The sequence below is a fragment of the Homo sapiens genome, chromosome 9 (assembly GCF_000001405.40).
Source record: "Homo sapiens chromosome 9, GRCh38.p14 Primary Assembly".
NCBI classification, from domain to species: domain Eukaryota; kingdom Metazoa; phylum Chordata; class Mammalia; order Primates; family Hominidae; genus Homo; species Homo sapiens.
The window spans coordinates 67,903,941-67,920,552 of record NC_000009.12 but is presented as its reverse complement, the minus strand read 5'-3'; positions in this window follow the sequence as shown (position 1 = coordinate 67,920,552).

Sequence of the window (16,612 nt, the reverse complement as noted above, 5' to 3'; positions counted from 1 at the left end):
GAATTCTTATGGGTGTTTGGGGAATATATTTTCTGTTGAGTCCTATACTAGTAAGATTTTCAACACAAGGTGACTCTGGGTCTCGCCTTGTAGGAAGAGCACTGAGAAAATATTTCATCTGCTCTTTCTCCATAAGGAGCTTCATGCTGATCACTGCTATTTTCTTATTTGATCTGTAAAGATAGCAAAGACACACGCTTAGTATTTCATTTTTCCTCTAATGATTCTTAATGACTTGCAGTTTTTAAAAACTTGCCCTGAGAGCAAACCAAATTATCCACTAAACAGTGTTTTCACACTGAAGATGTGTGAGAGCATACCTGTTGTAAGCAAGTATAATTTTAAAATCATTCTAAAGAAGCACCTGTGTTTCTAAGGTGATTTATACTGAACAAGCAGTACAAACAAAGTAGACAGGGAAGAGAAATGGCTATCAGTGATATATGGCTCGACAGGTAACACTTGCTGCCTTCTAAAAGGGCTCTACTTGTGAGATTCTGAAGATTCCATTAGAAATACTCATATTTAAAGGGTAACAATGTGAGAAAAGAATATGTTGATTTGCTTGATTATAAGAACCACTTCACTTGAAATAATTGTATCAAAACATCATGTTGTACTCCTTAATGTAGGTTAAGAAAACTAAAATGAACAACAACAAAAAAATTTAGGAATACTTGTGTTTAGCAAACAAATTTTAGGTTTCACCCTTGTGCATTTCACCCATTATCTAGGAACAATTAAGCATTTGGCACTGAGGAATAATTCAGAACAACAACTCCTGGGGGAGAACTAGATTGGCTGGTTGGTGATCAAAAAGAACTAAAGCATGTCTGAAGGCAATTAGCCCCCAGCACTGTGACCAAGGCACTGGAGGTGGGGCTTTTTCCTTCTGCCTTCCACACACCGCTTCAGGCTGAACAAGTTTTTTTTTTTTTATACTTTAAGTTTTAGGGTACATGTGCACAACGTGCAGGTTAGTTACATATGTATACCTGTGCCATGTTGATGTGCTGCACCCAGTAACTCATCATTTAACATTAGGTATATCTCCAAATGTTATCCCTCTCCCATCCCCCCACCCCACGACAGGCCCCGGTGTGTGATGTTCCCCCCTTCCTGTGTCCATGTGTTCTCATTGTTCAATTCCCACCTATGAGTGAGAACATACAGTGTTTGGTTTTTTGTCCTTGCGATAGTTTGCTGAGAATGATGGTTTCCAGCTCCATCCATGTCCCTACAAAGGACATGAACTCATTATTTGTTATGGCTGCATAGTATTCCATGGTGTATATGTGCCACATTTCCTTAATCCAGTCTATCATTGTTGGATATTTGTGTTGCTTCCAAGTCTTTGCTATTGTGAATAGTGCTGCAATAAACATACGTGTGCATGTGTCTTTATAGCAGCATGGTTTATAATCCTTTGGGTATACACCCAGTAATGGGATTGCTGGGTCAAATGGTATTTCTAGTTATGTTTTAACCACTTTGTGAATTACACTTCTTTAAATTCCTTGATAATTATTCCCTATTTCACAAGGATGCCTTTCTGTAACATCTTGAAAATGTTACACAAATAGTCTTTCTTGAGGCACCCTCTAGTGATAATACTAAAGATCACAATCAAAAATGATTGTGCCCGGAGTAGCAGTACCACTTGAAACTTTGGGTTTAGGTTGTGATCTACCAAAAAATAAATTAAACTCATTAATATTTCTATTTAGGAAAATTCTGACAAGCAATTTTATAACAAGATCACATTATTAATTATAAAGCTTCGAAAGTACTTAGTGACAAAAACTAACAGATCAGGTTAACTACATGAGACTTTTCAGGGGAAAAAAGCCATACAAAAGCAAAAAAAAAAAAAGAGAGAGAAAGAAATGGGACAGAAACTATCCTTGACTAACATTTTAAAGGTAAGATTATTTACTAACATTATTTTCTGAAATTACATTATTAGATTAGCATTCACTTCCTACTAATCTCCTGAAGCCATCTCACTAAAAATTATGCTTTCAAAACAAATTAATGAGCTTAATTCATTTTCTATGAGTGTATGTTTTGACTTACTTTGTTAATTTTTTTGACATGGAATTGTTAGCTTTCAATGCTGCTGCAAAGGCTTCCTTATATTCTTCTAATTCGGTTGTAACCTCTTCATAAGCAGTTTTCATTTCTGAGAATTTACATTCCACATCTTTAAGTGTGAGTTCCTTTTTATTTAGTGAAGCCATATTATCCTTGCTTAACTGCTCTAATTGTTTTTCATATTGTGCTTGTTCCTAAAACAAAGGAAAAGAATACACTTTTAAAACAATTATAACCTAATTATTATATGTTTGTTGCCTTTCATTTTGAGTCAGTGATTCAAAGAGCAATTGTGAATATGTTAGTAAAAGAGGCTGAAGCTTAAAATATTTATCAGCAAGATCAAAACTAATAACTGAATTCAGAATTGTCGATTTATAAAAATTTGAAATCATAATTATGTTAGTATTAATGTAATCTGGTCATATAAAAAGTAATAGAATCCATTCATAATTTTAAAAAGTGATTAATGAACAATGTAGCTTAAGACCAATTCAAAAGTATCACATAATTTTGAAATCACAATTGTTTCTTATGCCAACTGATCTTAATCATCAAATGACTCCACAGTGAGAATCATTACTCTGAAAGATTGATTTTGTTATAATAATAATGGAAATGTAAATATTTAAAAGAAAAAACAGATGCCATTTTTTTTTCTAGAACTCTACAAAGCAAATTGCTACAAGAGAGGCAGAGGAAACATAATATATACATATCCAAAATATAATCTGCGGTGAAATAAATGAAAGCACATTACAGATAAACTTACCTGATTTAAAAAACTAACCTGTAAATGGATTTCTTCTAATTTTTCTACTGCCTGCATTGCCTTTTCATCTAGCTCCAATTTATATTCTTGTAGTTTACTAAGTTCTACCCTATTGTTTTCCATATGTGTCTTAAGATTTAATATTTCTTCTTTCAACATCTTTTTATCCTCCTCAAGTTTCTCACATTGCTGTTGTACTTTTTTCATAGATAAAAACTCCTGTTGAAGAACTTGATTGTCTTTAGCCAAATTGACACATTTTGAAGATAAAGCTTCCTTCTCTGCCGTAAGATCATCAAACTGCATGAATAAAATAATATAGCTTGATAATGAAGTAGGCTGAGAATAATCTAATACAAAACCAATAGCAAATTTTGAAATACATTTACTTGCAATAAAATGTTATCTGTAATGCAGTGGATTCTTCAAATGTGAACCCTTAAATTACTCAGAATTTTAAGAACAAAGTTAAAGCTACCATGAGTCACAAAAATATATTATTTGCTATCATCATCTTTGCCACAGAACTTTTGCACTTCATCTTACTTTTATTTTTCTGATAATTCATTTTTGTTCCTCCTTAGATGGCACTAAGTTATCTCTTAGTAAAAAGTGTCTAACCACCTTCCCTCATTATCATTCCCCATAATATGTCAAAAAAAAGTTTCAGAGATATCATATTGAGTTATTTAGGCCAAAGTCAATAAATGGCTCTCAGAATAAGACTTTGAAAATAATATAACACTCTATACTAGGCATGGTGGCTCATTCCTGTAATTGTAGCAATTTAAAAGCCTGTGCCAGAATGATCACTTGAGGCCAGAATTTGAGATCAGCCAGAGCAACATAGTGAGACCCCCATGTCTACAAACTTTTTTTTTAAAATTAGCTGGGCATGGTGGCTCATGCCTCTAGACCCAGCTAGTTGGGAGACTGAGGCAAAAGGATGGCTTGTACCCAGAGTTCAGGGCTGCAGTGAATTATGACCACATCACCGCACTTCTGCCTGGATGACAGACAAAGACCATATCTCAAAAAAACACAAAATAATGAATCCTGTAAATAAGGATTCTGATGCCATAAGCCTTTCCTTAAACTGCAAATGTTTCATGCTAATTTGAATTGCATTTTACGAAGTAATGATTCTTGGGGTAAAGGCCATAGAATACACACCCAGAAATAAATCCACATATTTACAGCCAACTGATTTTGGACAAAGGTGCCAAGAACATACACTGGGGAAAGGACAGTCTCTTCAAATGAATGGCACTGGGAAAACTAAATATCCATATGGAGAAGAATGATACTAGCTTCCTATGTAACAGCACATAATGAAATAAACTCAGAATTGATTGAAGACTGACATTTAAGGCCTAAAATTATGAAACCACTCTAAGTAAATGGAGGAAAAATGCTTGAGGACATTAGTCTGCACAAAGATTTTTATGGGTAAGACATCAGAAGCATAGGCAAAAACCAAATGATAGACAAATGGTATTACATTAAGATAAAGAGCTTCTGCCCAGCAAACTGAGTGAAGAGAAAACCAGTGGAATGGGAGAAAATATTGTCAACTATTCATCTAATAAGGGACTAGTATCCAAAATATACAAGAAACTCAAAAAACTTGACAGTAAAAAAAAATCTGGGTTCAAAATTGGGCAAAATATCTAACTATACTTTTCTTTAGAAAAAAGAAATACAAATAGCCAATAAATAAATTTAAAAACGCTCAGTATCACTAATCCTCAGGGAAATAAAAATCAAATCTTCAATGTGATACAATCTTGCTTCAATTTGAATAAATTGCTATCATTGAAAAGACAAAAAAATAACATATGCTGGTGAGGTTCCAGAGAACAGTAAACTCTAACATGCTGTTGGTGGGAAGGTAAATTAGTGCAGCCACTATAGAAAACAACATGAGGTTTTCTCAAAAAGCTAATTATGGGACTGCCAAGGGATCCGGCAAACCCACTATTGGGTATTCAGGCAATAGAAAAGAAAACAATAGATCAAAAAGATACCTGTACTCGTATGTTTATTGTAGCACTATTCACAATAGCTGATGTATGGAATCAACCTGCATGTCCATAACCAAATGAATGGACAAAAAACTGTGGCACACAAACACAGTAGAATACTATTCACCGTATAAAGGAATTCAATCCTGTTATTCGTGGCCATGTGGATCAGTCTGAGGGATGGTATGTTAAGTGCAGACACAGAAAGATAAACACTGCACATTCTCACTCATATGTGGGAGCTAAAGAAAAACTGAGGGCTGGGCAACATGGCTATTGCCTGTAATTTCCTAGCACTTTGAAAGACCAAGGCAGGAGAATCACTTGAGGCCAAAGTTCCAGAGCACCCTGGACAACATAGGTAGATAGCTCTACAAAGTCAAAAATCAGACAGATGCAATGGTGCATGCCCATAATCCTAGCTGCTCAGGAGGGTGAGGTCAGAGGATCACATGAGCCCAAGAGTTTGAGGCTGCAGTGAGCTATGATCAAGCCACTGTCTCTAGTCTGGGTGACTACAGATGCCCAGAGCCCAGACTGGACTAGCAAGGCCCTGTCTCTTAACAACAACAAAAAAGCTCACAGAGGTAGGGGAGGGGAGGATGGTTAATGGATACCGAATTACAGTTAGATAAGAGGAATGAGTTCTGGTGTTCTGTGGCATTGTAGGGTGAATATGGTTAACTATGATTTATTGTATATTTTTAAAAAGGCAGAAGATTTTGAATGTTCACAATTCAAAAAATGAAAAATGGTTGAAGTAGTAAATGTGCTAGTTAGCTCGATCATTACACACTATATACATGTATCAAAATATCACTCTATTGGCCAAAATTATGTATATACATGTCAATTAAAACAAAAGAGAAGCTATATTTATCCCATTAAAAAAACAGAATATGGGCAATCCTTACTGACTTCCTTCTAATGAATAGAATGCAGTAAAAGGGATATCATGTGGCTTCCCTATCTCAGACTGCTTTCCCTTTGAACTCAGCCCCCAGATTGTGAGTGAGATCAGGCCAGAGAGACAGCCTGGGAGTGTCAGTGTCAATATGCATGCTGCCTGCTCCAACCAAGGTTCCAGCCAATGGCCAGCATCAACCATCAAACACATGGGTGAGCAAAGCTTCAGAGGATTCCATTTCCCCAACTGATCAGCTATTCCTAGGGAAGCTGAGGGGAGCAGAGATGACCTGTCCTGGCTAAGCTTTTTTCAAACCATAGGTTCATGAACAAAATAAATGTTTTTCTTTTAAGCCACAAAACCCTGGATAATTGTTAGAAAAATAAGTTTTAAAAAGAGACAACAGGAAACATAACTTATGCAGAGAAAAGAGTCTCCTTTAAAGTAGGATCTAATAAATGCTGAGATTAATTTATTGATGGCAAACATTATTGAGAAGCAGTAGATAACCAGGAGAGAGACATAAGCTGCTGAGGAGGAACATTTCCTAAAACCCCCTTCAATTATGAACTCTGATAACAAGGCAAGGGTGTCTCCTTACAATTTCCCCTCAAGTTAGGAAATAAGACTGCAAAGAAAGAAGAAGTATGATTTGAAAAACAACTAGAAATACTTGGTTAGATAACCAAAATCAGACATTTGCCTGATTTCAGTTAATGAAAATTCTAAAAGAATAAGCTTTGAGTATTTATTAATCAATCTAGTATTCAATTTTCATTTTCCTTTTCTCAATGAGGAAATAAGGAGAACTTTATGAAGTGATTTTTAGTCTTCACAGAAGTAAAATAAACATAGAGTGCTTTGAGTGTTAAGACATCAAATGCAATTTCTCCTTTATCTTACTTCAAGCTTGTTTGTATGGAGAAGTTAAGACCATCCCATCTCTGTATTATACCACAATGCTTCTCTACAGCACACAACTTGGCTCCGAAATTTCAAAAGTCAAAATACTAATCTACTATTTGTCTCTGATAAATTGCCTGAACATTACCTGATTTTGAAGTGCTGCACTCCTAAGACTTTTTCTTGGAATGAGTTAAACTTTATATCCCAAGAATCCTCTACTGAGCTAGAAAGCAGAGCTGTGCATCTCTGTTTCAGTAAAAGGAGGTCAATACAGGGAACTGTGGTTTCTGAGAATGCAAGATCTGCACCAAGTAAAGGATTAGATGCAGAGCTACCCAAGAGAACCAGCTACCAGGTGGAAAGAGGATCTGCGAACTACAACATGATGACTTCACATGATTTCCACTGAGGAAAGCTGGCAGCTCAGACTTCTCCTTCCTGGATGGTAAACATCTATGGAAGATTCTATGAATTATAATGAGTTAGCAAAACATAATACACTAAATATTAGACTACATCAGCAGATCCTGTGATGAAAACTTACTGAAAATATAACTATAGAGGGAGGCAATGGAAAAGAGACTAAAGGTTTGAATAGAGAAAAAAAGAAAGAGTGTCTTGTAAGCCTGACTTGCCATCATGTCTTAGAGTAAGTAAGGTATAAGCTGGCCAGAGATTCCTTTGAGGCACAAAAGGTGAAGTTAAAGATATTCCACTAAATTTAATTTTTATTATGATATAAGACAACTGGTAATATGCAACATGCTTGAAAAAATCTTCTCATTAAATTCAATTTGGCCTTGGCATAAGAATAGATATAAACAAACTAAGAATTGATAATCTACAAATAAACCTGCACATTTACAGTCAATTGATTTTATACAAGGTTAACAAAAGAACAGAATGGGAAAAGAATAGTCTTTTCAACAAATGGTGCTGCAACAACTGGATATCCACATGCAAAAAATAAATAAAGTACGAAGAAAACCCTGGCATAAATCTTTGTGACTGCATTTGGCAGTGTTTTCTTAGCTATGACTCCAAAGGAAAAATGGATTCAATGAACTTCAAAATTGAAAACTGCTGTGCTTGAGAAGACAGTATCAAGAAGTGAAAAGGTAAGATACTGAGTAGAAGAAAGTATTTGAAAAGCAAGTATCTGATAAGGGACTTACATATGTAGGATATATAAAGAACCTTTGCAATTCATAAATAACAAGATAACCCAATTTAAAAAATGGGCAAAGATTTTGAATAGATATATTTGCAAAGAAGATATAAAGATGGATAATAAGCACATTAATAGATGCTTAATGTAATTAGTCATTAGGAAAAAGTAAATCAAAACCACGTGTGGTATCACTTCACACCACAGGATGAAACCTTTATTCAATAAAAAAGAGAAAATAAGTGTTAGGAAAAATGTAAAGAAATTAAAGCCCTTATCCAATGCTGCTGGGGATGTAAAGTGGTGCAGCCACTTTGGAAAACAAACTGGCAGCTCCTCAAAAGGTTAAGCATGAAGTTACCATATGACCCAGAAATTCCAGTCATGAGTATATACTCCAGAAAATCAAAAACATATGCAAGCACAAAAACTCATACATAAATGTTTACAGCAGCATTATTAATAAGAGTGAAAAGTGGAAAGAACCAAAATGTCCATCACCTTTGGGTGGGAAAGAACCCAAAGGTCCATCACCTGGTGAATGGATAAATAAACTGTTTGATGTATCCATACAATGGAATATCACTCAGCAATAAGAAGAAACTAAGTACTGATACTGTATTAGGAGGAGACAGCAAAATGCCTAGGCAGATAAGGAAGGGTCCCCGGAGAATCCCCAACAAGCCTCACAAGTGTTTACACCAGACGTTATGTGCAGATAAGGGAACCTGGACTTGTCTTGCCTGGACATGCCGGCAGCAGACCCGAGGCCCACAAGCACTGGGGGGATGGGGTGGAGTCACCAGGAATTCACGCCTTATGCAGAGCAGGAGCCTGGCCGCTTCAGCTCCTGTGCTCCTGGTATTCAATTGTGAGGTGGAAACCTGTTTGCAGGACGCCCCTCTTTGCCGAGAGCTTTCCTTTCACTTAATAAATTCTGTCCTCCTCACCCTTCAATGTGTCTGTGTGCTTAATTTTTCCTGGTCATGAGAGAAGAACCCAGATTGAGCTGAACTAAGGAGCAAAAACCCTGCATCAATACCTGCTGCAGCACAGATGCAGCATGGAAAATTATGCTAAGTGAAATAAGCCAGTCACAGTAGACCACTTGCTTTTCATTTCAGAGGCTTATAGGCAAATCTATACAAAGAAGGTGGGTGGTTACCTAGGGCTGAGGGAGGAAGGGAAAACTAGTGAAGATAGCTAAATGATGTGGGGTTTGTTTTTAGGGTGATGAAAATGTTCTACAATTGATTGTAATGATGACTGCATAACTCTCTGAAAATACTGAAGTTAATAAATTGTATATTTTAAATGAGTGAATTGCATGGTGTGTTCATTATTTCTCAATAAACCTGTTACCCCCCACCCCAAATTAATTTGGTACTAGTGATTTTGGTAGTAGTGATCTGGAGACAGGTACTGCTTGGTTTCAGATCACTGGCCAGGGTTCAAGGCCTAAGAGAATCAACAGCATGTCCTTTTCATAGAAAAAGAGATTGATATTTTAAAAGCTATCCTTTTCATTAGTTTCAAGTCTGTAAAATTAAATGAAAAATCTTTCACTGCTTAAAGCACTGACAGATTTATATTGAGGAATAAGACCTTGTTTTCCTTGGCCCCAATTTCTATCTAAAGGGTCTGGGAATCACACCCTTCAAACTATCAAATCTCATCAGATGGGTTTTATTAACTCTTATAATGTGGCTTCCTTTCTAACCTGATTCTGGTGCAGCATCACAGAGAGAAGAAGCTGAAGGAAATCAAAATATTTTACCCCCAAATATATTTTTTGTCATATTTTGAAATGGCTGCTGCAGGGCCAAGAGATTGAAATGGTCCTCATTAATGTAGCCCAATCTCTCCCCTTCTAGGTCTTCCCAGATCTGGGGAAGATTAACTAAGAGCCTGAGGCATTTAAAGTCTGAAAAGATATATTTACCCTCTATTTTCTCAACATATTTTGGCAGAATTTGGGTTTTTCCATTATCAATATTTTCCAAAATTACATGATTTTTAATACCAAAACTGATTTAAAATTACCATACGTTGGAATATAAATTATTCTATTATAAAGATACATGCATTTGTATGTTCATTGCAGCACTATTCACAACAGTAAAGCCATGGAATCAACCCAGATGTCCATCAGTGATAGACGGGATAAAGAAAATGTGGTACATATACACCATGGAATACTATGGAGCCATAAAAATGAATGAGATCATGCTTTTTGCAGGGATATGGATGAGCTCAAAGCTGATATCTTCAGCAAACTAATGCAGGAAGAAAAAAACAAACACTGCATCTTCTCACTTAGAAGTGGGAGCTGAATGATGAGAACACATGGACTCGGGGAGGGGAACAACAAACACTGGGGCCTGTTAGGATCAGGAGGGAGAGCATCAAGATCAATAGCTAATGCCTGCAGGGCTTAATATCTAGGTGATGGATTGATAGGTGCAGCAAACCAACATGACACACGTTTACCTATATAACAAACCTGCACGTCTCACACATGTAATCTAGACCTTAAGATAAAATAATTTTTTTAAATTACCTTCTGTTTTAGCTTCTTAATCAGAATATCCATTTTCAGTTGATCTGTTTTTAAGTCTCCATGGCAATCAAAGTCTTCATTTCCAAATACATTTAACATATTTATTGTCATTTCCAGGAGTTTCTTATATCTGCAGAAATGTACAGAATTAGTAAGTCAAGTATTTTTAAGAGTAAATATTTAATAATTGTTTAAACATCTGTTATGGCATATCAAAGAAACAAATCTATAAACTATGTTACTTTCAGTTTCAACTGAACATAGTTTGAAAGCATTCTATATGAAATTATAATCTTAGATAAATAATATGAAGAACAATTTTATGGCATATATGGCAGGTAAAGTGATATTATAGCCATACAGTGTTTTTGTTTTGTTTTTTGTTTTGTTTTGAGATGGAATTTCACTCTTGTTGCCCAGGCCAAAGTGCAATGGTGTGGTCTCAGCTCACTGCAACCTCTGCCTCCTGGACTCAAGTGATTCACCTGTCTCAGCCTCCCAAGTGGCTGGGATTACAGGTGTGTACCACCACGCCTGGCTCATTTTGTATTTTTAGTAGAGACGGGGTTTCACTGGTCAGACTGGTCTTGAACTCTTGACCTCAAATGATCCACCCACATTGGCCTCCCAAAGTGCTGGGATTACAGGTGTGAGCCACCACACCTGGCCTAACCATACACTTTTTGTAAATAAACTACTGATATCCATGTTGGTATGCTAAGTAAAATAACGTATTACTAAATATAAGCCATAACCCAGAGATGAGTAACCAAGATAAAAAAGTAAAACACATACATTTAAAAAGACACAAAAGTACATTTTGATACCCACTGACCACAGTCTATCAGAAGAAAAAAAAGTACACACAAAAAGCATCAAGGAGATCATTCAATGTAGAAAAAGAGAAGAAAACATCTTTAATATCTGAGTTGAGGAGAAAAAGGATACAGGCAGTTTTAGAAAAAAGGAAAGGGGCAGAGAGATGTGTGACGATTTAAAGACTTTGAAGAAGAGATCTAGACATCTTTGCTGACATAATGTCAACAAAATTAAAGAGATACAAAACCATGTAGAGAAAAGCAATGACAGAAAAATGTTGATTCTAATCAGAAAACCAAATTAAGTGCTCAGTAAATAAATAGAAAAGTAGCTGTGTTCAGGGCTTCAAAGACAGATTCCATTGTTTTAAAAAAAATCTGTGATCAAAACATGAATGTTCATTTTACTTTTTCTTTAAGTTATACATATATTTTTATATATATGAAATTTATTTATGTAAAACAAGTTTAATAACATGTATACTTCATGTATACAACAGAGGTACTCATGTACAATGAGTAAATTTCCACGTTTTATATCTAAAAGAAAAAGCAGAAACAAAATATAAGCTACATATCAAGATAAATTTGATGTTAAAGAATGACACAAACAGGTCTTCTTTAAACAATTTGAATGCAGCAGAGGATACTACAAAAGGAAGAAAAAATGACCACAGACAGCAAAAAATATCTTCAGAAATAAAAATTCAAACCAGATAATGAAGAGTGCACTGGACATTATATGTCCAAGGCGTGGTCATTGTTTTCAAAATCATTAAAGAATAAGTGGCTGGGCATGGTGGCTCATGTCACTTTGGGAGGCCGAGGCGGGCAGATCACGAGGTCAGGAATTCGAGACCAGCCTGACCAACTTGGCAAAACCCCGTCTCTAATAAAAATACAAAAATTAGCCGGGTGTGGTGGCACATGCCTGTAATGCCAGCTACTCAGGAGGCTGAGGCAGGAAAATTGCTTGGAGGCATAGGTTGCAGTGAGCCAAGACCGCGCCATTGTACTCCAGTCTGGGAAACAAAGCCAGACTTTTTCTCAAAAAAAAAAAAAAAAAAAAAAAAGAATATTTTGGCATTCAAAAAAAATTTCACCTTGCCCCAGCAGCTCAGCTGACTCCCACCCCCATGACACACGTCTAAAAAGTTGTGCTGTGAGTTTCTGAAATACATTTTAAAATAGAATTCATTTAATTATGAAAATGCAAACATAAAATGAATTTGTATCTAGGTTTTAGTCAAGTAAAATTAGAGTTAAATCAATTAATAAATGGCTAACATGTTCTACAATATGAAAACCATACCCAGTTGCCTCTTCTTCTAATTCATCATTTTTCTTTCTTATTCGATTCACATTATACTTCAGTGATGATATTAACTCAAAAAGTTTTCTTAATTCTTCATTTTCTTTTTTAGGCTTAAAAAAAGTGTTTAAAATTATTTTTGTAAAATCTGGAGACCCTCTTTTATCTCAAAAATATTATTTCTCATAAGTGGATTAGTAATACGTATTTATGCAGGTGTATAAAGTGCATTTTATAAACCTGATGCCAATAAGGTCAGATTTCAATAATAGTCACTTTTCTTAAAACTGCTAAAAATGATTCAAATTTTCATCATTATCTTTTCTGAAATTTAAACTGCCAACAATGTTTGTTACAAATGAGGGTTTTTACACACAAAATACTAAGGGTTAGTTAAAAAAAAAAGAGTAGTTATATTTACATTTTAGTTTTTAAAGATGCTCTAGAAATATTGTTTTTAACAGTTTAAGATATTCCAAGTTCTCTTAAATTACATCTTACTAAGACAAATTTTAGAAAACTCTTATCTAGTTCCCATTACATTTTTCATCCTCATCTGTCTTCAGGCTGAGCTAAATACTGTCATTCTAAGTATTCACCCACAGGTTTCAGTTTTTCCCTTTCTCTTAACCATTTCTCTTTAAATAAAGTTTATTTTTTCTACAATAAACAAAAACAACTTTCGTCTACTTTTTGTGGCTTTTCTATTATCCTGTTTCTCCCCTTCCATTGGACTCTATGACACATGGTTTCATTCAGAAATCTTTTTTCATCAATTATTGTGTTTTTTATACTGAAATCTGATTTTTAATAATTCCAATAAAAAAGTCCAACGGTCATGAAGGACTTTATCCTGCTTTACTCAGCAGAGCAGTGACCAAATGCTCCCTCTGCTCCTCTGACCCCACTTCCTTTCTAAATGCAGTGACCTCTGTTCTTCAGCCCTATCCCTTTCTATTCCTCTGACCCCACTTCATTTCTAAATTTAGCAACCTCTGTTCTTCAGCCCTATCCTTTTCTGGTTTTTTGTTTTGTTTTTGTTTTTTGTTTTGAGATGGAGTCTCCCACTGTCACCCAGGTTGGAGTGCAGTGGCATGATCTCGGCTCACCGCAACCTCCACCTCCTGGATTCAAGCGATTCTCCTGCCTCAGCCTCCCAAGTAGCTAGGATTACAGGCATGTGCTACCACACCCAGCTAATTTTTTGTATTCTTAGTAGAGACGGGGTTTCACTATGTTGGTCAGACTGGTCTTGAACTCCTGACCTCATGATCTGCCTGCCTTGGCCTCCCAAAGTGCTGGGATTACGGGTGTGGCCACCACGCCCGGCGGCTATTTCGCTTTTTAAATTCTCTCAGGACTCCTAAAATCTCAAAACTTTGACCTAGATTCCCTAATCTACATTTCCAGCTCTGACCTTTTTCTTGAGGTCTCTTCCTTCTAGTACACATATTATAGACAATATTCTCCACCACATGCTCATACATTGCTACTTGGTGCAGATTACTTTTGTAGATAGTGAATCTTGTCTATTTTATGTTGGTTCTTATTGATGTTACTTTGAGTATACTGTTATTTTCTAATCTCAAAGGGGGACTATCTCACTGTTACGATACTAACCAGTATACTTTGTCCTTTTTTTCATTCTTTCTTCTTTTTTGGACCAATATACTTTGTCCTTTTCTTTTTTTGAGATGGAGTCACACTGTGTCATCCAGGCTGGAGTGCAGTGGTGCCATCTCAGCTTACTGCAACTTCTACCTCCTGGGTTCAAGTGATTCTCCTGCCTCTGCCTGGCAAGTAGCTGGGACTACAGGTGCACACCACCACGCCTGGCTAATTTTTGTATTTTCAGTAGAGACAGGGTTTCACCATGTTGGCCAGGCTGTTTTTGAACTCCTGACCTCAGGTAATCCACCCCTCTCAGCCTCCCAAAGTGTTGGGATTACAGATGTGAGCCATGGAACCCAGCCCTCTTTTTCTTTGATAATGAAAACTTTCCCATGAGAATCAGATTATCAATTGTTTGCCTTTGTTTTCTTTTAAATAATTTCCTTTTCCATAGAGATATGGCATGATGAACATCTTGTTCTAAAGTTCTTTTTGGGGGACACTCAACTATGTCATCGGGAAGCTTCAGTAAGTAGAGATCTCCCTTCTTCCCATTCAAGATTCTTCATCTCAAAATGGTGTCTACCAAATGTCTTAATCCAGGTAGTCCCTTGCTTAGAAATTCATGAAATAAGAACCTTCTGGAGAAGTTAGAGGCTATTGATTGAGATGGTTTAAAGCTGCCCCTTATTATGTGTTTTACTCCCAAGGCAGACATCAAAGCGGCTAATAATTCTATGCCTGATGTCTAACTCACTTCTATGGGAATCTATACAACATGTTTTATTTATGAGACAGAGTCTCCCTCTGCTACCTAGGCTGGAGTGCAGTGGCTTGATCACTGCTCACTGCAGCCTCAATATTCCAAGCTCAAACAACCCTCCTACCACAGCCTCCCAATGTAGCTGGGACTACAGGCATGCACCACCATGCCTCAGCTAAGTGTTTAAAAAAATTTTTTTTTTTTTTTAGAGACAGAGTCTCACTATATTGCTCTGGCTGGTCTCAAACTCCTGGGCTCAAGCAATCCTCCTGCCTCAGCCTTCCAAAACCAGGTGTTTAACTGGGGACTAACATGAAGCACTTAGAAGACTACATGGAACATAGTGAGCTACATAAAATATTTGCTATTAGCATAATAATTTTATTGTATATCTTAACAAAATTGTGTATTTACGCAGGTGGCATGCCAATGGAAGTAGTCTCCTATAGCTGCACTGAATCATTCTTAACACTGAGAGTTGCAGCAAATGGGGGACATAATTTATAACTTACTTTTCTCTCTGTATGACTCATTAGGCAATGACTGTGTATGTACTACAATGTAAATAGCACCTCCTGGATGGAATAGTACGTAACTGACATGACCAGCAGAGACAGGCTAAAGACACTGAGCTGAAAACCCTGGACTCTATTGCTAAGTCAAGGCTCCTGAATCCGTTCCCTCTGAGCAACTGTTGCTGTGGTGCTGCCTTCACAAGCACTCTGCTGAGCACTCAGATTGAGGGGCTGTGCTATCCTTCATCAGACAAGCTGCACCCAGAACTGTTCAGCTGACAGACTGGGAGCAGTCCAGAAACACAGTAATGGCTGCATAGTGAAAAAAGGCCAATTTATATTCTTTTTCATAGAGAGAAAAACATAAACACGTGATTGAACGCATCTCCTGTGTTAGACTAATTGGGTTAGATTTGATATTTAATTGCTAAAAATATATTTAGAATATAACCTTACTGTGTCAAGGTCTCAAAGAAGAAATAATTGGTATGGTATAAATGATTGAATTGTATGCTACAAACTTCTAAGCTAAAATATTTTCAATGTATGCAAGGATAGGTGGCATACACATTATATATTATTCCCCCATTAAGCAAATTTATAATGAGAGAAAATTATCTTCCATAAAAAAATAAAAGCCATGTAAAATTAAGGACTAAGTTTTTCAGCACAGACTAGACAACGATTGCTAACACATAAGGTCAATGACAGAACAGTCAGAGAAAGCTTCATGAAAACAAAAAAATTGTCTGCCAGGTCTGAATGAATGAGGCTAGATGAACAGAAACTGAGAAGGCAGAAAGAATAGCATGAGCAAGACAAGTGCTGAAATCTGCCCAATTAACTCTGAGGATAAAGTCCAATGGCAGGGAAATAAAAACCCGTGTCCACATAATAACCTGTAAGTGAATGTTCACAGCAGCATTTTTCATAATAGCTAAAAAGTGGAAACTAACCTAAAGGTCCATCAACTGATGAACGAATGGAAAACCAGTATAGCCATGGAATAGAATATCATTTAACTATAAGAAGAAATAAACTACGAATGTGTGCTAAAACATGCATGAATTCTGAAAACATTATGCTAAGTGAAAAAGCCAGTCACAAAGGACTACATATTGTATAACTCTATGTATATGAAATATGCAGAACAGGCAAACAT